This window comes from Homo sapiens, chromosome 9 (assembly GCF_000001405.40).
Source record: "Homo sapiens chromosome 9, GRCh38.p14 Primary Assembly".
Taxonomy (NCBI): domain Eukaryota; kingdom Metazoa; phylum Chordata; class Mammalia; order Primates; family Hominidae; genus Homo; species Homo sapiens.
Window position 1 is genome coordinate 112,758,046 of NC_000009.12, and position 22,371 is coordinate 112,780,416.

Genomic DNA, 22,371 nt, shown 5'->3' on the forward strand with positions numbered 1-22,371 from the left:
TCCTTCTGCTGATTGCCTCACCTTCCACCTTAGAGAAGATGGAAGCCACCAGAAAGGAACTTCCCTTCTTCAAATTTCAGAATGATCTGACTCCATAGCCATGTTTTCTTTCTGGCCCTTGTTCCAAGGAGAGAGTCTAAGGCTGACTGAGGGTGTAGACCCACCTGCCACCCCCCATCCTCTTGGAGACCCTGCTCTGTTTGGCCTCCTGACTTACCCCTGTATCTTTGGACTCCCTCTCAACCAGCTCACTCCCATCAATATTTAAACATGCTCAAGTTGCGCTCTCTCTTTTTTTTTTTGAGACAGTATCTGGCTTTGTCACCCAGACTGGAGTGCAGTGGCACGATCTTGGCTCGCTGCAACCTCTGCCTCCTGGGCTCAAGAGATTCTCCTGCCTCAGCCTCCTGAGTAGCTGGGACCACAGACGCGCATCACCATGCCTGGCTAATTTTTGTGTTTTTGGTAGAGATGGGGTTTCGCCATGTTGGCCAGGCTGGTCTTGACGCCTGGCTAATTTTTGTGTTTTTGGTAGAGACGGGGTTTCGCCATGTTGGCCAGGTTGGTCTCGAACTCCTGAGCTCAAGCGATCTGCCCGCATCAGCCTTTCAAAATGCTGAGGTTACAGTTGTGAGCCACCATGCCTGGCCAAGTTGCTCTGATTTTTAAAACACAGAAAGAGTGGCTGGGCGTGGTGGCTCTTGCCTGTAATCTCAGCACTTTGGGAGGCCAAGGCAGGAACATTGCTGGAGGCCAGGAGTTTGAGACCAGCCTGGGCAATATAGTGAGACCTTGTCTCTGTTAAACACACACACACACACACACATACACACACAATCGCTTGAGCCCAGGAGTTTAAGACCAGCCCGGGCAATATAGTGAGAACTTGTCTCTATTAAACACACACACACGCGCGCACGTGCACACACAGAGAGAAAGAGTAAAGGAAGCTCTGCTATGATGTTCTTTTCTCCTCCATCTGGTGCCTTTTTTTTGTGGGGGTGGAGATAAGGTCTTGCTTTGTTGCCCAGGCTGGTCTCGAACTCCTGGCCTCAAGTGATCTTCCTGCCTCAACTTCCCAAAATGCTTGGATTATAGGCCTGAGTCACTGTGCCTGGTCTTGTGCCCTATTTTGTGACTCCTCTTTACAATACACTTTTCTGAAGAGAAGGTTTGCGGCCCTTGCTTCCACTTCCTGACCTCTGACATACTCCTCAGCCTCCTGCTGCCTAGTTTCTGACTCTGTTCTTCAGGGTCCTCAGTGATCTCATTATTGCTAAATCCAGTAGATGCTTTATAGTCCTTATTTTGCCTGACCCCTTGGTAGGTAACACTTGATCCTGTTGTTAACCTCCTGCTTGAAATGCTTCCCCTCCACTTCCTGTTTTAAGGTGTGCACACGGGCCAGGCATGGTGGCTCACGCTTGTAATCCTAGCACTTTGGGAGGCCGAGGCAGGCAGATCACAAGGTCAAGAGATCAAGACCATCCTGGCCAACATGGCGAAACCCTGTCTCTACTAAAAATACAAAAAGTTAGCTGGGCATGGTGGCGCACACCTGTAGTCCCAGCTACTTGGGAGGCTGAGGCAGGAGAATCGCTTGAACCGGGGAGGTGGAGGTTGCAGTGAGCTGAGATTGCGCCACTGCACTCTAGCCTGGCGACAGAGCAAGACTCCATCTCAAAAAAAAAAAAAAAAGTTGTTCATGCTGGAATCATGTTGTCTGGATTTGAATCTCAGCCCCACCACTTAGAGTCTTGGTAACAGCAAGTTGTTTAACGTCTCTGAGCCTCAGTTTTCTCATCTGTGAAAAGGGGATAACAGATGTGCCCATGTCACTGGGTTGATAGGAAGACCCAGCGAGTTCGTAGAGTAGTGGGTGATGTATATAGCGAACCTTTAAGAAATGGGAGGTGTTGGTGGTTGTTATTCCTTGATATTGTACTCTCCACATTTCTTTCTACATTTTGGCCTATGCTTTGTCGATTTCTATATTAGTTGAGGTCTGATCAGGGAATAAAAGCCAGTGAAGTTATTTCAAACAGAGAGACTATAATACAAGGAGTTAGTTGCATAGGTGATGGGTGGTAAATTGACCCAGAGAGTAGCAGTAGCAGGAAGTTGCTGTTACCCTCAGGACTGGAGGGTTAGGGGAAGAGGCGAAGTTAAGTAGAACCCAGGAGCTTCTGTGAGAACTAGACCTGTGGCAGGGTCATTGAGCAGGAGCTGGGACCTTAGAGGAAGGGGGCCCTGGAGGGGAGGCAGCCGCTGCCAGTGGCACGATCTGAGGCAGAGAGCAGGTTGGGACAGAAATACCCTGGCTTGTCTCCTCATCCTTCCCATTCTGGTCTAACATCAATATCTTTTATTAGCCAAAATAGCATCCCTGGTGGATGTGTGACCCTAACAGAGCCAGGCAGTCTTTCCTGAGATTTATGAGATGGATGATGGGGGAAAGAATGTCTTGCCTTTCTACTAGATTGTGAATGGTCGTGTCCTTCAATGCAGAGAGTGCTTGGCTTAAGAATGAAGCCAGAGGGAAGTAGAGCTAGGAGAGGAAGAGGGGCAAGATCATTTGAGTTCAGGATCCGACTGTGCCAGCTGTGCCTGAAGTTAGAACGGGTTCCTGGTTATAGGGGGTCATAAATTCCCTTTTGTTAATACTGTTTTCAATTTGGTTTGCCACTTGAAACTTAAATTACCAATACCGTGACCTTAAAATATGACTTGAAAATTGGGTTTTACCTGAGGAGTAGGGAGAATGGGGTGTTTATTCCTATTGGCAGCCCCACTAGCTGGGGGTATGTCTGCAGATCAGCTGAGGTCGCAGAGGTTGTGTTTTCACCAGGTCCGTGAAGTTGGAGGGGGCTTTCAGATGTGGGGTGGGAAAAGCCCCAAGGTGAAGGGCAGAGACAGGAAAGACCTGTGGCCGCTGGAGGAGGACTGAATTGGGTCATGCGTTGGGAGTGGGTTTTGAGAGTCTAGAGGTGGAGATTAGTGAGAGACGAGGTGGGTAGACAGGTCAGGAGGTTAATGAGACTGTTTTGAGTGCTGTGATGTGGAGGTTAGCTTTTATTCTTTCAGCAGTAGCTAGTCCTAGAGGGCGTGGTTTTGTTTGTTTGTTTGTTTGTTTTTGAGACGGAGTCTCGCTCTGTCATCCAGGCTGGAGTGCAGTGGTGTTACCTTGACTCACTGCAACCTCCGTCTCCTGTGTTCAAGCGATTCTCCTGCCTCAGCCTCCCGAGTAGCTGGGATTACAGGTGCATGCCACCACGCCAGGCTAATTTTAGTATTTTTAGTAGAGATGGGGTTTCACCATGTTGGCTAGGCTGGTCTCAAACTCCTGACTTCAGGTGATCCACCCTCCTTGGCCTCCCAGAGTGCTAGGATTACAGGTGTGAGCCACTGCTCCCGGCCCCAAGAGGGTTTTTGAGCAGGGGGATGTGTGATCAGGGCTTGGGATGGGGAAAGACCAGCCGTGAAAGAGGTAAGATAGGAAGAATTAACCTGGTTTTGGTTGGACTTGTTGCCTGACAAGAGAAAGATTAGAAAATATAAAGATGACAGATTTTGGTGTAGTGGGGGTGACTGACTAGAAAGTCCAGGAGATTGATGCTGAACAGTGGTGCCGTCTTTGAGAGGGGGGCGCAGACCGGGAAGCACATGTGCGAGTGAAGTGTAAAGATGACGTGGACACGGTTTCAAGTCAGGCATTCAGGACAGAGGATGCCTGAAGGCCACTGTTGCAAGCCTACTCAAACTTCAAGGCTCAAACAAATGCTGCCTCCAGGAAGCTCTTTTTTATTAAATAGATGTATAATCCCAGTAGATCCAAATAGAGACTGGAATAGAAGATGGAGAGGTTTGAGGTCAGAATTTAGACAAAGTGCATATTGACAATAAAGTAGGGGGTAGGATGTCATCGCAGTTTGAAAATCAGGTGTTAGTGAAGGCCACTGGGAGGAAGGCCGGTGTTCCACGATAAATGAGAGCCTCTCAAAGTAAAATAAGTACATAAACAACAGCCTGGCCAACAGGCGCTGATGCATGTATGAGCAATGGGGTTTGTTTACTAGACATTAGAGGACTCATATGCTGTCTTATGTCTGCCTTGCCCCATAGAATTCTTCATTTTGGCAGCCAGCGCAGGGATCAGGAATTGTTGTTTGTGTGAATTTTTGTGTGTGTGTTGGTGGGGGGGAAGTGGGATAGTGGAAAAGGTGTTTGGGGGTTCCTGCTTGAGAAGGGGCACAGAGGCGGGAAGAGCACACAGCGTGTTTGGGTGGCCGAGTGCAGGCGCTTTTCAAAACCCCTATAGCTCGTGAGCATATGCTACATACCTGGCTCTGTGCTACATGCTGGGGCTGTAGAGAAAGATAAAGAAGATCTCTCCCCCGAGAGGTTAATGGTCCAGTGAAGAAGAGAGACACATCAACAGATGGTTGCGGTAGCATGTGAAAAATGCTGCATGTATTTACTTAGCTCTGTGGCCTTGGGCAAGTTTCTTAACCTTGTAATGCCTCTGTTTCCCCTATCTAAAATTGGGATTATCTTACAGGGGGATTCTGAAGCTTAGCTGGGTGTTTAGTGTCTGGGGCACAGTAAAGGCCACAGCAGTGCTAAGTCTTGTCGTTGCCTTAGAAGCAGACCCTGAGAAAGCATTTAATCGCCCATAGTTCGCTTGAGAGCTGAAGGAACTGGCATTAGAGGAGCAAGGCAGCGAGACAGGGAAGGGAAGGCAATCAGCAGAGGCGACGTTACCAAGCCAGTTTCCACTGAGCAGAGCTGGAGCTTTACCCCACGGAGGAAGCCGCTGGGAGCCAGCATGGAGCACGAGCCTCGGTTATTCCCACTCCAGGTGAGGAAGCTGGGGTCTTCAAACAGCAGCTCTCTTTACTCATTGGTTGACGGCTGCTTGGGTGGGGTGTTTGGACGTGAATCACCAGGTGCTTTCTAGCCTGCCCCATGGGTGGGCAGAGGAGGTTCAGTGGCCAGGGGAAGCGGTCAGGCCAAGACATGCAGATGCTGGTAGGTGGAAGTCAGACCAGTGGGCACTGAAGTGTGATCAGGGTGAGGGGTTGTATGGGTGGGGCACTGACAGCATCTGCTACAGTTTATATATGTATATATATATTTTTTAGAGATGGGGCCTTGCTCTGTTGCCCAGGCTGGAGTATAGTGGCATAATCTTGGCTCCTACAGCCTCAAAATCCTCCTGAGCTTAAGTGATCCTTCTGCCTCAGCCTCCTGAGTAGTCCTCAGCTCCTGACCAGTCTTAGCTCCTAGTGGTGTATGGTGTGCCTTGCTATTTAAACTTTTTTTTTTTTTTTTTTTTTTTTTTTTGGTGTGTGTGTGTGTAGAGAGAGGCGTCTCACTATGTTGCCCAGGCTGGTCTTGAGCTTCTGGCTTCAAGCGATCCTGCTACCTCGGCCTCCCAAAGTGCTGGGATTATAGATGTGAGCCACTATACCTGGCCCAGTTATTATGTTTTTTAAAAGAATTATTTGTTAAACCTGAGTGACAGGCCGGGCGCCGTGGCTCATGCCTGTAATCCCAGCATTTTGGGAGGCCGAGGAGGGTGGATCACGAGGTCAGGAGATCGAGACCATCCTGGCCAACATGGTGAAACCACGTCTCTACTAAAAATACAAAAATTAGCTGGGCATGGCGGCGCGTGCCTGTAATCCCAGCTACTTGGGAGGCTGAGGCAGGAGAATCGCTTGAACCAGGGAGTTGGAGATTGCAGTGAGCCAAGATTGTGCCACTGCACTCCAGCCTGGTGACAGAGTGAGACTCTGACTAAAAAAAAAAAAAAAAAAATTATTTGTTTAAATTTACGGGGTACCTATGTAATTTTGTTACATGGATAGATTGTGTAGTGAAATCCAGTGCTTTTAGGGTACCCATCACCCAAATAATGTATATTGTACTCAATAATTTCACATCACCCACCCCTCTTCCATTTCCTCCACCCTTTCGAGTCTCCTTTGTCATTCCATGCCCTATGTCCATGTAGATGATGAAAGTTATGTATAGGGAATAAAGTAGGGTGAGACCTTGCTTTGGAGGATGGTGGCTTTTCCAAAGAAGATGATGTTTGAGCTGGAGAATGAAGGAATACATGTCTTACAAATGGACAGAAGGAAGAGCAACTCAGGCGGAAGAACCAGCACATACTAAAGCTTAGCAGTGTCAAGTGATGCACGCACAGCGAGCAAGGGGATTGATGAGGCTGGAAAGGTTGGTAGGGTCCTGGCTGTGGTCTGTAGTGGCAAATAGTAAGGACTTTAACCTGAGTAATTGGGAGACCAATTAAGTGTTTGTCGTCGTTGTTGTTGTTGCTGTTTTTTAAAGAGATGGGGTCTCACTCTTTTGGCCAGGGTGGAGGAGGGCAGTGGCACAATCATAGTTTACTAGAACTCCAGGGCTTAAGCAATCCTCCTACCTCAGCCTACTGAGTAGCTTGGACTGTGGGCATGTGTCACTGTGCCTGGCTAATCTTTTCATTCCAATCAAGTGTTTTAAGCGGGGGAGGAACAGGGCCGTGTTTGGGGTTAGAGTCACTGATCAAGAACTAGCTGGGATTGGGTGGGTGGAGCCTGGCGGCAAGGAGTCCAAGAAGAAGGCTGTTGCAGTGGGAGGTTGGGGGAGGCAGTTTCAGTAGGGCTTTGGCTCACTGGATTCAGAGAGTGTACTGGTTAGTGGTTTGCTTGCAAATAATAGATATCTAGCTTGCATTAACTTAGCAAAAAGGTGAGCCTATAGACAGGCTTGCTTTAACGTAGGAGTAAGCTGGAACCAGGGGTCTGAATGCTACTGAGGGTCGGCTTTATTCTCTCAGACTAACATCATCGACGCAGGGGGAGTTGTGGCAGCGCGCCTCCCTCACATTGCACAGCTGTGCCTCCAGAAAGGGAGTGAGTCTATCTTCCCAGGGGAAAAGGTCAGGGAGACCTGGCTTGGGTCACGTGCCTACCTTTAGGCTGATCAACTGAGCTCAACCTGGGCCAATCAACAGTGGCTTGGGGAGGAGACTGAAACAGTAAGGAAGTCCCAATTCCAGCTACCGGGTTCAGAAGCAGCTGTGAGGTGTGCAGGACAAACAGTGAAAGATCACTGTGGAAGAGACTCTAGGGTCACTGGCTTTAGGAACTGGCTGAATGATGGCAAGAATAGAACAGGAATTTGAGGAAAAGTAGGTCAAAAATTATAGATTTTCTAAGGCATGTATGCCTTTTACAAATTGTGATATACTTCACATACCATAAAATTCACCCTTTTAAAGCATACATTTTAGTGGTTTTGAATATATTCACAAGATAATGCAATGGTCACTGCTATCTAATTCCAGAACATTTTCATCATCTCAAAAAGATACCCCATACCTGTGAGCAAACACTGTCCATTTTCCCTATTCCCAGCCCCTGGCAACTGCTAATCTGCCATCTGTCTCTGGAGTTTTCCTATTCTGGACATTTCATATAAATGGAATCATACAATATGTGTGGCCTTTCGTGCCTGGCTTCTTTCAGTTAATCTAGTGTCTGAAAGCCTCCTCCATGTTGTATGTATCAGTACTTCATTCCTTTCCCTTTCCAGCTTTATTGAAGTATGATTGACAAAAATTGTATAGACTTAAGATGTACAACATGTTTTGATACACTTAAATATTGTGAAATGATTACCACAATTAAGCTAGCTAAACATATCCATCACCTCACATAATTGCCTTTTTGTGGTGAGAACACTTTAGATCTATTTTCTTTTTTTCTTTTTGAGATGGAGTCTCACTCTGTTGCCCAGGCTGGAGTGCAGTGGCGCGATCTCAGCTCACTGCAACCTCTGCCTCCTGGGTTCAAGTGATTCTCCTGCCTCAGCCTCCCGAGTAGCTGGGAATACAGGTGCACGCCACCATGTCTGGCTGATTTTTGTATTTTTAGTAGAGATGGGGTTTCACCATGTTAGCTAGGATGGTCTTGATCTCCTGACCTCGTAATCCACCTGCCTCGGCCTCCCAAAGTGCTGGGATTACGGGTGTGAGCCACCACGCCCAGCCTAGATCTATTTTCTTAGCAGATTTTAAGTATAAAATACATTATAGTCACCATGCCGTATATTAGGTCTCCAGAACTTATTCATCCTGTCATGGAAAATTCACACTTCTTGACCAGTATCTCTCCTTTTCCTCCACCCCTCCAGTGTTACTTCATTCCTTTTTATGGGTGAATAATACTTCATTTTATGGATATACCACATTTTGTTTATTCATCCATTGATGGACATTGGGTTGTTTCCTAAGCACATGTACTTTTTTTTTTCCCAAAGAAAAGACATTAAATACAATTTATGACTTTTCTACAATAATTTTGACATTTGAGGTTAATGGTAATTTTAGATATGAATGTACAATACGATGGCGTTAAGTACCCTGGCTTGTTTTTAATCATCTTAACCATTTTTAAGTATACAGTTGAGTAGTGTTAAGTATATTCACATTGTTGTGCAACAGATCTCCAGAACTTTTTCATCTTGCAAAACTGAAATTCTATACCCATTAAATGACTGCTGCCATTCTCTGTCTTCCCCAGCCCTAGGTCACTACCTTTCCACTTTGTTTCTATTGTTTTTGAATACTTTAGATTCCTCCTGTAAATAGAATTGTCAATATTTGTCTTTTGGTGACTGGCTTATTTCACTTAGCATAACATCCTTAAGGCTCATCCATGCTGTAGCATGTGACAGGATTTCCATCTTTTTTAAGGCTGTATAGTATTTCATTGTGTATATGTATCACATTTTCTTAACCCATTTTTCTGATGGACATTAGGTTGCTTTTGCCTCTTGGCCATTGTGAACAATGCTGCAATGAACATGGTTATGCAAATATCTCTTTGAGACCTTCTTTTGGATATGGATATATACCTAGAAGGGGATTGGCAGATCATGTGATAACCTGTTTTTAATTTTTTGAGGACTCGTCATACTGTTTTCCAAAGCAGTTGCACCATTTTACAATCCTGCCAACAGTGTATACAAGGCTTCTGTTTTCTCCATGTCTTTGCCAACACTAATTATTTTATTTTTTTTTTTTGATAGTAGTTATTCTAGAAAGTGTGGGGTTATAGCTCATTGCAGTTTTGGTTTGCAGTTTTCTGATGTTCAATATATTTTCATACGCTTATTGGCCATTTATATGTCATCTTTGGAGAAGTGTCCATTCAAGTCCCCTGCCCATTTTAAAATTGGGTCTTTTAAAACTGTTATTGAAGTTGTTTATATATTCTTAGTATTAGCCCCTTCTCAGATATATGTTTTGCAAGCATTTTCTCCCATTCTGTAAGTGCCTTTTTACTCTGTTGGTTGTGTCCTTCGGACAAAACATAAGTTTTTAGGTTAGCCTGTTTTTGCTTTTGCTGTCTGTGCTTTTGATATCATATCTATTGCCAACTTCAGTGTCATGAAGCTTTTCCCCTATGTTTTTTTTCCTAGGAGTTTTATGGTTTTGGGTCTGATGTTTAGGTCTTTATTTTAAGTTACTTTTTATTTTATTTTTTACTTTTTTGAGACAGAGTCTCACTCTGTCGCCCAGGCTGGAGTGCAGTGATGCGATCTCGGCTCACTGCAGCCTCAACCTCCCAGGCTCAAGTGATCCTCCCATCTCAGCCTCCTGAGTAGCTGGGACCACAGGCTTATGCCACCATGTCCAGCTAATTTTTTTTATTTATTTATTTATTTGTAGAGACAGGGTTTCCCTATGTTGTCCATGCTGGTCTCAAACTCCTGAACTCACGCGATCCTCCCACCCTGGCCTCCCAAAGTATTGAGATTACAGATGTGAGCCATTTTGTCTGGCCAGCCACTGTTCTTTAATGTTGCTCTTCATTTCCGTTGTTGATATCCTAATTGGATGTATGATTATCTAAATGGTTTTCCTGGCTTTCATTCATTCAGGCCCTCCTCTCCCATCCAGTCTGTTCTGAGTACTGTAGCCAGAATCCACCTTCATAAAGTGCTGCCTTGTATGGATCATTCCCATCTTTGGAGATCTGCATTGACTCCCCATTGCTTACGCAGTAATGGTCCAAGTCCTTAGCCTGGCCTTCTGTGATCAGGTACCTGTTTACCTCCCTGGTGCCCTCCTGGGAAGTTACGTCTCTGCCAAGTGATTTTCCTCGTGAGCTGCCTGGAATGTCATGCGAATTCTTGCTTTCCCACCCGTGCTAAGCTCATCCTCCTCTCGATGTTTCCAGCCGACATCTATTGCTTTAGAACCTCGCTACTTAATGTGTGGCTCATAGGTGAGTGGCATTGACATCACCTGAGAGCTCATAGAAACTGCAGACTCTCAGACCTAATTCCAGATACAGAGATTCAGAATCTGCATTTTGACATGATCCCTAAGTGATTTGTATGCACATTAAACATTGAGAAACACTGTCTTAGAACAAGGTTATCAGTCTTGGCTAAGCATTCAGATCCTCCAAAGATCTCTTAGACAATACTGATGCCTGGTCCCTATCTCAAGAAATTTAGATCTAATAGGATGGCCCAGGGAGCAGTATTTTTTTTTTTTGTAAAGTTTCTCTAGATAATTCTTTCTTCTTTTTTTTTTTTTTTTTTTTTTTTTTTTGAGACGGTCTTGCTCTTGTCGCTTAGGCTAGAGTGCAATGGTACGATCTTGGCTCGCTGCAGCCTCTGTCTCCCAGGTTCAAGTGATTCTCCTGCCTCAGCATCCCAAGTAGCTGGGATTACGGGCACCTGCCACCACGCTGGCTAATTTTTTTGTATTTTTAGTAGAGATGGGTTTCACCATGTTGGCCAGGCTGGTCTCGAACTCCCAACCTCGTGATCCGCCCACTTCAGCCTCCCAAAGTGCTGGGACTACAGGCGTGAGCCACCATGATAATTCTAACGGGCAGCCAAGATTGAGATCAGTTGACTTAGGAGAATTCTCTAATTCACTCAGAGGAAGTTCACTATCAGACAAGCATGCTTTCAGCTTTTCTCATTCAGCCTTGCCCAGTAGGTGTAGTTTCATATATGGCTAATGGTACAAACACCTGTGGAGGCAATTTGGCAACATATATCAAAATTACAAATACGTATGTTTCTTTTGATTCAACAAGTTCTTTTCTGTTTGTGTCTGTCCTGCGGATAAACTAGCATGTGAAGGGAGAAGGCTTTCTTTCCTCTCCACCTCTAGTTAACATCATTCAAGACCTCTACATTGAGGTCGTTTCTGTCTTTTGATCCTCCCTTCACTTGCAGAAGTGCTTGGCCGCATAGCATCCTGGGCTGTGGGGCTGGCACTTGGCATCACTTCTCCATCACTGCAGTGCCATCCTGCAGGAAAGTGTCCACTTCCCCAAGAGCTTGATGCCAGGAGTCTCCACTACTGTGGGTGCAGCCATGTCCATGCAGTCATCCTGAGGGCACAACTAAGGCATCTCTGTAGCTTGGCATGGACCAGGCACCACCCTGGCACAGACAGGAAGAGCTGAATCTTCACTTGGCTTCTGGGATTCCACTCACTGTTGGTTCCTTATGTACCTTACTGGCTGTTCCTCCTCTGTCTCCTTGGCTGGTTCCGTCTCATCTCCCTAGCTCTAAATGTTGGACTGCTGTAGGACTCCATTCTGATATGGCCTCTCTTCATCTGCATGGTGTCCCTAAGCAATCTCATCCAGCCTCACACATCTACACACTGATAACTCCAGGCCAGAAACCTCTCTCCTGAATTCCAAATTCCTGTCTCCCACTGCCTTCTTGATGTTTAACCCTGCATCTCCAACAGGCATGTCAAGCTAGTTATCTAGCTCACTCTTAATTCCAAGGATAAGCCTTGGAATTAGCCTCGGCTCTTCCCTTTTTCATCCCATACCTAAGCCATCAGCAAGTGCTTCTGAAATACCATGTCCAGAATCTCATCACTTCTCACTCTCTCCACTGCTGCTACCCTGACTGCTGTCATCCCCTCTTGCCTGCATTACTGTACCAGCCGCCTGACTCGTCTTCCTGCTTCCACCTTCCCACCTTCAGTCATATATCCAGGCAGCAACCGGAGGGATTATTTAAAACATAAGAAACATCAGTCGCATCATGTCTCTTGCTTTTTAAATTTAATTAATTAATTAATTAATTTTTGAGATGGAGTCTCACTCTGTTGGCCAGGCTGGAGTGTTGTGGTGCGGTTTCGACTCACTGCAACCTCTGTTTCCTGGGTGCAAGCAATTCTCCTGCCTCAGCCTCCCGAGTAGCTGGGATTACAGGCACCTGCCACCACACCCGACTAATTTTTTGTATTTTTAGTAGAGATGGGGTTTCACCATGTTGGCCAGGCTGGTCTCGAACTCCCGACCTTGTGATCTGCCCACCTCGTCCCCCCAAAGTGCTGGGATTACAGGTATGAGCCACCGCGCCTGGCCTCTTTTTTGCTTTTGCTTGAAACCATCCAGAGACTTCTCAGTTCTCACACATTCCCCTCAAATCCTCCATGGGCTCCAAGTACATGGGTAATCTGGCTCTGCTGCTTCTCTGGCCTCCGTCCACTTCTCTCTCCCCCTGCCCACTCCCTTGCCTCACGCCTTTTGGCCCAGACAGCCTGCAGGCTTGTTCATCTATTTCATTCAGGCCTCCCCCAACCTCCCTGTATAAACTAGTAGCAGCCCCTGGCCGGGCGCGGTGGCTCACGCCTGTAATCCCAGCACTTTGGGAGGCCGAGGCAGGCGGATCACGAGGTCAAGAGATAGAGACCATCCTGGCCAACATGGTGAAACCCCATCTCTACTAAAAATACAAAAATTAGCTGGGCGTGGTGGCGCGTGCCTGTAGTCCCAGCTACTCAGGAGGCTGAGGCAGGAGAATCTCTTGAACCCAGGAGGCAGAAGTTGCAGTGAGCCGAGATCGGGCCACTGCACTCCAGCCTGGTGACAGAGTGAGACTCTGTGTCAAAAACAAACAAATAAACAAACAAACAAAAAACAAACTAGTAGCAGACCCCTCCCTGCCCAGTTATTCTCCCCCTTTACCTGGCTTTAATCTTGCTTCGCAGAACTTAAACCACCAGACATACTTGGTTTACTTTCTCCAGTACTGTGCTGTAAACTTCTTGAAGGCAAGGGGCCTGATCTGGTTTGCTTATTGCTAAATTTCCATGCATGAACCAAACCTGGTATGGGTGGAGTATACAGATATTTGGTGACTCAATAAATGGACCCGTGCTAAATGCTGTGTGTATAAGGATACCTGTTGCAGTATTATTTTTAATAGCAAAAGATAAAAGCTTATATGGCTATTAGTAGGGTGCTGGTTTTGTAAACTATGGTAGTTTTTGAAATGTGGTATTAAAAGGAATAAGGCAGCCCTGTATATACTTATATGCAACAATGGAAAAAAACGTTAAGTTGAAAAAATGTATAAATCGTGTATAGTCTGTCTTGCGTGTGTGTGAAAGAATTTATGTCAGTATGTCTGCCAGCCTTGGAAGGATGCAGCATTGCTGTGTCAGAAGGGTCCTTCTCCCAGCCTTCAAGAGTATAGTCTCCCCGGGTGGCTATTTGACCAAATTAGGGAGAAAGAATCTTCCCTCTCTCTTTCTAATTTGGTTAATAATGGTTGATACCAAACAAACTCTGATCATGCTTCAAAAAAAGGGGCCAGTGAGGGCTCTCACTCATAGTCCTGTTGAGCAGTTATGACTGTTTTTGAGAAGGGATAACAGCCACATTTTCATAACTGCTCAAAACCCCAAAGAGATAAGGCTAAACTGTGACAAAGGGAAAAAAGAGACAGTGCTTTTCTGGTAGTTTTTCAAATCTGTTCAGGTCAAATATGGGTGAATGTTGGCTTGTGGTGAGTTTTACCCTTTCCCTCTGTGGTCAATTTTGTGAACTTTTTGTTCTGGCTTGAGACATTCTTTTTTTTCCTGGTTCAAGTCATGGAGCAGGGGCAAACCTTCGGTTGTTTCACAGTTGTCCAGACTTTATTGGACCCCATTTCATGCCCTTGCCCTCATCCTTCCTGGCAGAGGACTTTCCTTGCCTAGAACATTGCCAGTCTCCGTGAAAGAGGAAGAGGTGTTTTCAGCCCGGTGACGTTAGCTCTGTTCTGGTTTCCTTTAGAACAATCCTTATTCTAGTGAGGGGTTACTCTAGCTTCATTTCAGTTTCTCCCCAGAGAGAGGAACGACCAACTTGTCAACAAGTGGAAATGGAAGAAGTGTTTCTGGGAGGTGGCTCTGTTGGGGATTAGACTGACACCTCTTTGTAAGAGGATGCAGTTGAGTTGCCTTCACTCTTCTGCTGTAACCAGATCCTCCTCTCCAGGTGTGCTGGGAGACCTGGCACATTATTTTAGGTATTCTTGAAGCTTTTTGAGTAACCTAGAAAGTATCTCATATAGTATGATAGGCTAGACATTGTTTAGATTTGTGGATTGACAGGTGTGGGGCTGTGGTACTCGTGTGTGCGTGTGGAGATATCTAGGCGTGTCTCCCCTGCCATGGTTTGAGCAAAATGGTCACATCTTCACTTCCAGTCTGACTCTGAAGAACAAGGTAGCCACTGTATTTTGCTTTTCTCAAATCATTCAAATTCTCTTAGATTTTGCTGTACCCAGTACTGAGTGTGAGTAGAAAGGGTAATGTTTATTAAAGATACATTGCAGTATCCCAAGATCGTAAGTTATGAAAGCAATGTTTGCATTTCACATAAACCAGTTTTGTTACTACATAAACGAATATGTCTTCAAGTGTTGATCCTGGCGTGTTTGCTCCTTGATTTAAAACAAAAACACATTTCCCATTTTAAATTCTCCTTGTGTTTAAATTATGAAAAGGCTACTTGAAAAGTCTTGCTATTGATTTATTCGTGAATCAAGGAACTTCCCAGCTATCTGTAGATTTGTGGTGTTGCAGTAAATGGGTCAAGAGAATCTGTTAATCTGTTAATTGTGAGAAACAATGTTGCCAGAAGCTAAATGAATAAAGCATACTTACCACCTCTTGTTCCAAAGCAAGGAAGCACACTGTGTAAAGAAGTTGAGAATTGTTAGAGAGGTTGGTTAGAGCAATGTAGGTGTGAGGCCGTTGCAGCTGCGTAGAGAGAATAGAGCCTTTAGAGTTGGCCAAGGGAGTTCTAATATAATCACTTACTGGCTGGCAATCACTTACCTCCTCTGAACCCTGTTGTCCCATCCATAAAATGGGGTTAATAATAGTACCTGTCTCATAAGGTTGTTTTGATAGCTTAATAAGGTTATGTACAATAGGGTCCAAAATCTCTTCTCATAACTGATAGTCATAACTCATATGAACAACATACTTTATATGGCTACAAAGAAGATTATTTGCTTTTTTTTTTTAAGAGATAGGATCTCGCTTTGTCATTCAAGCTGGAGTGCAGTGGCGTGATTGTGGCTCACTGCAGCTTTGAACTCCTGGGCTCAAGCAATCTTCCCAAGTAGCTAAGACTTACATATATTTTGATAGATACTGATAGTAGGAATAGGTGCATCTTGAGGTGTGTGGTGTACCTTAAATATTCAGAAAGTAAAAGATGAAAGAAAAGGAAGAATGCTTTCTAGAATAGTAAGATTATATAGTGAGACTATGATAAAACTCAAGGCATATGGGGAAGGGGAAACAACCAGTTCTGCAGAAAGAGTACATAAATTGTGGAGAAGAAAATCCTGAGTGAGCTAGGATTCATTTACTATAAATTATGACTTCAAGGCCAAATTACAGATAGCCTTAACAAATAAGCAGCTCACAATAAATATTCACAATTATGTTATATTTATATTACCATGGATCTGATTATAGTAGAAATGTTCACGTCTTCTCCTTAATTTGATTTTCATTTTGTTTCAATAAGTAAATTACTCTTGGCTCATTCAACATGATGATGCTGAAAAGAAAAGAGGAATCTTTCTATGTGACCTGTTTGTCTTCAGAAGAAAGGTTTATTTCACTGGCCAGAAAACAGAATTCTCTCCCAGAGGAAATGGATGAGAGAAACTGGACTTAGGAAGTTCATATTCCATTCATTTATTCATCAAATATTTATCAAGTGTCGGGCACTGTGCTAGGTGCTGCTAGCCAAATCCCCACTGGAGAGTCTGTTGCATTTCAGGGCTTTTCAGGTTTCTGTTTCTCTTCTTCTACCCCAAGATTAAAAAGAGCAGTCTAAAACAGTGGAGAAAAACCTGAAACCAAAATTGGCTCTTTGAAAAAGAAATCAAGAAAAATGACAGACCTTTAGCTAGATTGACTAAGAAAAAAAGAAGATTCAAATTACTAAAATGAGAAATGAAAGAGTGGGTCTGTAAGGTCATGTTACTAATGACCTTACAGAAAGGAAAAAGGATTGCAAGGAGGACTGTGAACCTGTGCCAATAAATTATGTAATTTAGACAGAATAGACAAATTCCTAGAAAGACACAAATAAAGCTGCCGTGATCATTCATGTGCAAGTCTTTGGTTGACGTGTTTTCATTTCTCTTGAGTAAATATCTAAGAGTCAAGTTACAATGTAATGTGTGAGAGTTGGGTAGCTCCACATTCTTGTCAAGACTTGGTATTGTCAACTTTTTTAGTTTTAGCCATTCTAGTGAGTATGTAGTGATATCTCATTGTGGTTATAATTTGTGTTTACATGATTACTAATGATGCTGAGCCTCTTTCACATGCAAATTGGCTATTCTGTATCCTCTTTTGTGAAGTCTTTGTTCAAATCTTTTGCCTTTGGGTTGTTTTTGTTACTCAGTTCTATATATATATATGTTCTGAGTTATTTATATGCTTTTTTTTTTTTTTTTTGAGACAGTGTCTTGCTCTGTTGCCCAGGCGTGGAGTGCAGTGGCGCCGTCTCGACTCACTGCAACCTCTGCCTCCTGGGTTCAAGCGATTCTCATGCCTCAGCCTCCCCAGTAGCTGGAATTACAGACGTGTGCCACCACGCCTGGCTCATTTTTTGTATTTTTAGTAGAGATGGGGTTTCACTGTGTTGGTCAGCCTGGTCTCAAACTCCTGACCTCAAATGATATGCCTGCCTCCCAAAGTGCTGTGATTACAGGTATGAGCCCCTGTGCCCAGCCTAAATTTTTTCTTTCTTTTTTTTTTTTTTTTTTGAGACGGAGTTTTACTCTTGTTGCCCAGGCTGGAGTGCAATGGTGTGATCTCAGCTCACTGCAACCTCCACCTCCCAGGTTCAAGTGATTCTCCTGCCTTAGCCTCCCAAGTGGCTGGGATTACAGGCATGCACCACCACACTTGGCTAATTTTGTCTTTTTAGTAGAGATGGGGTTTCTCCATGTTGGTCAGGCTGGTCTCGACCTCCCGACCTCAGGCCCACCTTGGCCTCCCAAAGTGCTGGGATTACAGGTGTGAGCCACTGTGCCCGGCCTAAATTTTCTTTATATATTCTTATCAGGAGTTCTTTATATATTCTGGATATCGTATATTCTCCCATTCTGTGGCTTGTCCTTTTTATTTTAAATTTGTGTGTGTGTGTGTGTGTGTGTGTGTGTGTGTGTGTGTGTGTGTAGGCAATGCATTCTCTTCACACAGAATTTAGAAGTTACAAAAATTTGGTGAAAAATCTTCCTTTTGCCCAGGGCCTAGCATCCCCTTTCCCTGTCAGCAGGTTTCCCTCCTCAGAGGCAACCAGTGTTACCAATTTATGGGGAAACTTTATAAAGATATGCTATGCATAAATATAAAAATGCCTATGTGTAGTCTTTTTTTTTTTTTTTTTTTTAAAGATGGTAGCATACCTTACTTTTTTGTACCACGCTTTACACATAACCTTAGTTCTTGGCGATTGTTCCATATTAGCACATAGAGATCTTCCTCCCCACTAGTTGCCTCAACACTCTTCCTTCATTTTTAATGATTACATAGTATTCCATTGTTTCAATTAGTTCAGCACTTACTATTCCAGATGAGAAGTCTGTGCAAGTGATTCTTTTTCTTCTTCATGTAGTCTTCTACATATCCTTAGATTTTTCTTCTTCTGAAATTTAGAAATCTCACCATTCTTCTGGTATTTTATGTTTTTTGTTTTTTAATCCCCACTCAAAATCCAGTGGGCCCTTTTAGTTTTACTGCTTCATCTGCATCCTTTTTTGTTCTTGATTCTCTTTTTCTGGAGAAAGCACTTATGGATATCTGAGTTTTGGTCTGTCCTTTTTTAGGTTCACCTTTTCTTGTCTCATTTTATTGCATTTTATTTTCACTGTGTCTCCTGAGAGAATTCCTTGGTTTGATGTTCTATATGATGCATTTATTTTTCATTTCATTCTATCCTGGTGTTTCTACTTTTCTGTTTAATTTAAAGTTAAACCCACTTATGTTTGTTTAGTGTTCCCATGTTTTTGGACCTCCTCTGACTGTGATATCTAGATGATGATCTTGGCCAAGGACAAGAGCTGATTAGACTTGAGCATGCCGAGTTTCCAGTCTGCAGATGTGCGGATCTTCTGCTTCTACCTTCTTGGTGATGCACATGCTGTTCCTCCTGCCCAGCACTGAGACTTGCTCTTCTGCTACCACTGGGGTGCATATTTGTGTAGCCACACGCTCATGTCTATGTGTGTGTAAACATGTACATGTATGTATAGGCAGTGCACAGAGACTCTGCAGTCAGCCTTTGCCCTGGCTGTGGTGAGTGGATAGGGGTGGGGTAAGTCTGAGACGGGAGCAGATAGAGTCTAGGTCTTTGGAACTGCTCCTAGGCAGGCCTCCTTTCAGGATGTGTGGCTGATAACAGGACAGCAGGCTGGATGGACCCTTCTGAACTAAGGAAGTGGGGAAGAGTTTACCCTGCAGGTAGAGAATTTCATGCTCTTCCCACAATACCCTTCCTCTTTTCCTTCTTCCAGTTGCGTTAGCAACTTGGCACTCCACAGTCCTTTGCTCACCGCCCCCTGCCTTCCCAGTGCCTACTTCTGTTCTCAGTCTCTGTGGTCTCTGATTTTGAGTATTTTTCCAGACCCTATATAGCAAATCCCATGTCTTCCCAGATTTAGCATTTCCCACTGACCTTTTAGGTTTTGGTTCCTCAATTCTGGCTAAATCTGATTTTTCTGTAAATTTGATCCTGTTTGCTGTATCTCTTCCAGAAATTCCTCAAAATTTCTTATTGATTGATGGCATCCGTTCCTGTTTTCTGGCTTTTTAATGGGTTTATTTTTATTTTTATATTCCTTTTGTCATTCCCTTGGAACTTGGAGTGACACAAGAATCAAACACTTGAGCTCAGCCCGTCACCATTGTGGACTCAGTGTATCTCATTACTTTTCACTGGCGGGATTCTGTAACACCCTCTTTAACCAGTTTCCTAGTTTGTTCGTCTTCCATATAATCTTTTTAAAGATATTTATTTATTTATTTATTTATTTAGAGACAGAGTCTTGCTCTGTTGCTCAGGCTGGAGTGCAGTGGTGCAGTCATGGCTCACTGCAGCCTCAAACTCCTGGGATCAAGCAGTCATCCCACCTCAGTTTCCAGAGTAGCTGGGACTACAGGTGCATACCACCACACCCAGCTAGTTTTTAATTTTTTTTTTTTTTTTTTTTTTTTTTTTGTGGAGATGGGTCTCACTATGTTGCCCAGACTGGTCTTAATACTCCTAGCCTCAAGTGATCCTCCCGCCTCAACCTCCCAAAGCTTTGGGATTACAGGTGTGAGCCACCACACTTGGCCTCCATGTAATCTTAATAGTATTAACAGCAACAGCTTTTAAACTGAGTGGTTGCTATGTGCCACGCATTGTATCATACCCAATTTAATTGTTCCTTTATCTTTTACCCCTCATTTGCTAGGCAGACATTGTTTTGGTTATGTACTATTGCTTAACCACCCCAAAACTAAGTAGGTTAAAACACAAATGTACTGTGATCTTTTAGGGTTCTGTGGGTTGACTACCCTCAAGTATGTGTTTTTTGCTCTAGGTGTCTCTTGTATTTGGAGTCAGAAGTTGGCTGGGGCTGCAGTCAACTGGAGGTTCATTGGACTGGTTGCCTAAGGTGACTCACTTGTGGCCACAGTTGACTGGAGTGCCTATGTGTGACATCACCATGTGGCTTGGGCTACTCAAAGTGTTGTGGATGGGTACCTGGAGGGCATGTCCCAAGAATGAGCATTCTAAGAGTCAGGGAAGTGGAAATTGCTGGGCCATATAAGGGCTATGCCTGAAATTGGCACAGGATCAGTTTGGCCATATTCCTTTTTTTTTTTTTTTTTTTTGAGATGGAGTCTTGCTCTGTCACCCGGGCTGGAGTACAGTGGTGCGATCCCGGCTCACTGCAACCTACGCCTCCCGGGTTCAAGTGATTCTCCTGCCTCAGCCTCTCGAGTAGCTGGGATTTCGGGCACCTGCCACCAGCCCAGCACATTTTTGTATTTTTAGTAGAGAGGGGGTTTCGCCATGTTGGCCAGGCTGGTCGCGAACTCCTGACCTTAGGTGATCCGCCAGCCTCGGCCTCCCAAAATGCTGGGATTATAGGCGTGAGCCACTGCGCCCGGCCCGGCCATATTCTTTTGGTCAAAATAGTCAGAGGGTCTACCCAGATTCACCAGGATGGGTTGATAGACATCATCTCTTGATGGGGAAGTGGCCAGGTCACATGACAGATAAGCATGTAAGACCAGAGATATAGTTAGGACCTTCCTTTGAAAAATACCAACTGCCACAGATACCATGCTGGAGATAGAATAACAGCTACCAGGTCCATGCTTTCTCACACCTTATGGTTCAGTGCCAGAGGCAGGTGGATGAACAGGCAATGACAGCACAGATCATAAGTGTTATGAAAGAGCTAGGTACAGGGGCATGATGAGAGAACTTGGGGGGGGGGGATTTGCACAGCCCAGACTGGGCAAGTACTGGTGGGTGGGGAAGTTGGTTGAGAAAGAACACATCTTAGAGGAGGTATCTTTGGAGCTGAGTCTTGAAGCACAAATGGGCATTAGCTAGGTGAGTAAGGCATCCCATACAAAGTGCTCGTGGCACTTGGGGGAATTACTGATGGTCTGAGGATTGGCAGGGAATTGGGTGCTGCTGGCACGTGTGATGTGAGGTGGCGAAAGTGTGTTCTCCCTTTAGATTCTCTTCATCTGTGGCCTTGCCTGTGAGGGCTCTAGCTGGTCCTGTATGCAATGTATTAGCGGGACATTTAGGTGTCTCCTTAGGAGGTGACGGATAGACTGTGTGAGTGGGAAGAGAAGAGTGAGCCTCATTAGCTTCACTGTGGTGAGCTTTTTGTGGATTCTCTTCACTCTCCATCATTCATTTCTCCTTCTGTTTCATATTCTCTTTTTTTCCTTCCCGGTCTGTTGCTCAAGTGAACACATAGAAGAGGGTTATGTTGGACCAGGCATGGTGGCGCATGCCTGTAATCCCAGCACTTTGGGAGGCTGAGGTGGGCAGATCACTTGAGGTCAGGAGTTTGAGACCAGCTGGCCAACATGGTGAAACCCGTCTCTACTAAAAATACAAAAATTAGCTAGGCATCGTGGGAGGTGCCTGTAGTCCCAGCTACTTAAGAGGCTGAGGCAGGAGAATTGCTTGAACCTGGGAGGCGGAGGTTGCAATGAGCCAAGATCGCGCCACTGCACCCTAGCCTGGGTGACACAGTGAGACTCTGTCTCAAAAAACAAACCAAAAAGAGAGCTGCATTCATTGCTGAAGGGTGAGGGCAGGTGAGGGAAGGGAGCTGGTGTTGGAGGAGCTACTCCATGCAGGGCGCACTTGGCTGAGTGCTCCACTAGTTTTCTCTCATTCATACTGTACGAGAGAGGCACTTTATCCCTATTTTACACGTGACGAAATGGGAGCTCTGAGGGGACGTGGGGAATCTCTCAGCTGGTGAGGAGCAACGACAGGCTGTCACTGTACCCCACCAATGCTTTTGACATGTGCTCATCTCAGGATATGTGTGCAAGGGTGAGGATCTTGGCCTAGGACGGGGCTGACTGCTGTTAGACTAGGGTGTACTCAGATTCCAGTCTGCAACTGTGGGGACCAACGTGCTGCTTCTACCTTTTGGAGGAGGCACCTGCTGTTCTTCTAAGCAGTGAGCTTTGTTCTGGTGCCACTGCTGGGGTGCGTGTTTTTGTGGCCATGCATACATGTCTGTATTTTTCTGTTTAAACATGTACATGTATGTATATGAGCAGGCAGAATTGGGGTGAGAGGGCAAACCCAATCACAGCCAAAAGTCCCTTGGTTAAAAAGGGCATGAACAGAGTTTTGGAGATTGTTTCCTTCAACATTGTGAATGTATTTAACACTAGTGAACTGTATACTTAAAAATCGTTAAGATGGTAAGTTTTATTTTATGTGTATTTTACTACGGTTAAAAAAGAGAGAA

General features: G+C 44.7%; 1 protein-coding gene across 10 annotated transcripts in view; it reads left to right on the forward strand.

The window, feature by feature from the left end:
• SNX30 (sorting nexin family member 30) overlaps positions 1-22,371 on the forward strand; it is a 136,047-nt gene that overhangs the window by 8,323 nt on the left and 105,353 nt on the right. The window contains exon 1 of one of the 10 annotated variants that reach the window (XR_007061306.1): positions 4,301-4,858. The exons of 8 other annotated variants lie outside the window; for them this stretch is intronic. Coding sequence is in view for 1 of the 2 variants with exons in the window: in XM_047423395.1 (XP_047279351.1) it covers positions 4,826-4,858 (33 nt within the window). In the remaining variant the exon portion in view is untranslated. Of the gene's footprint in view, positions 1-4,300; positions 4,859-22,371 lie in introns of those variants that run through there. One more of the 10 variants, XM_047423395.1, reaches the window with a different exon arrangement.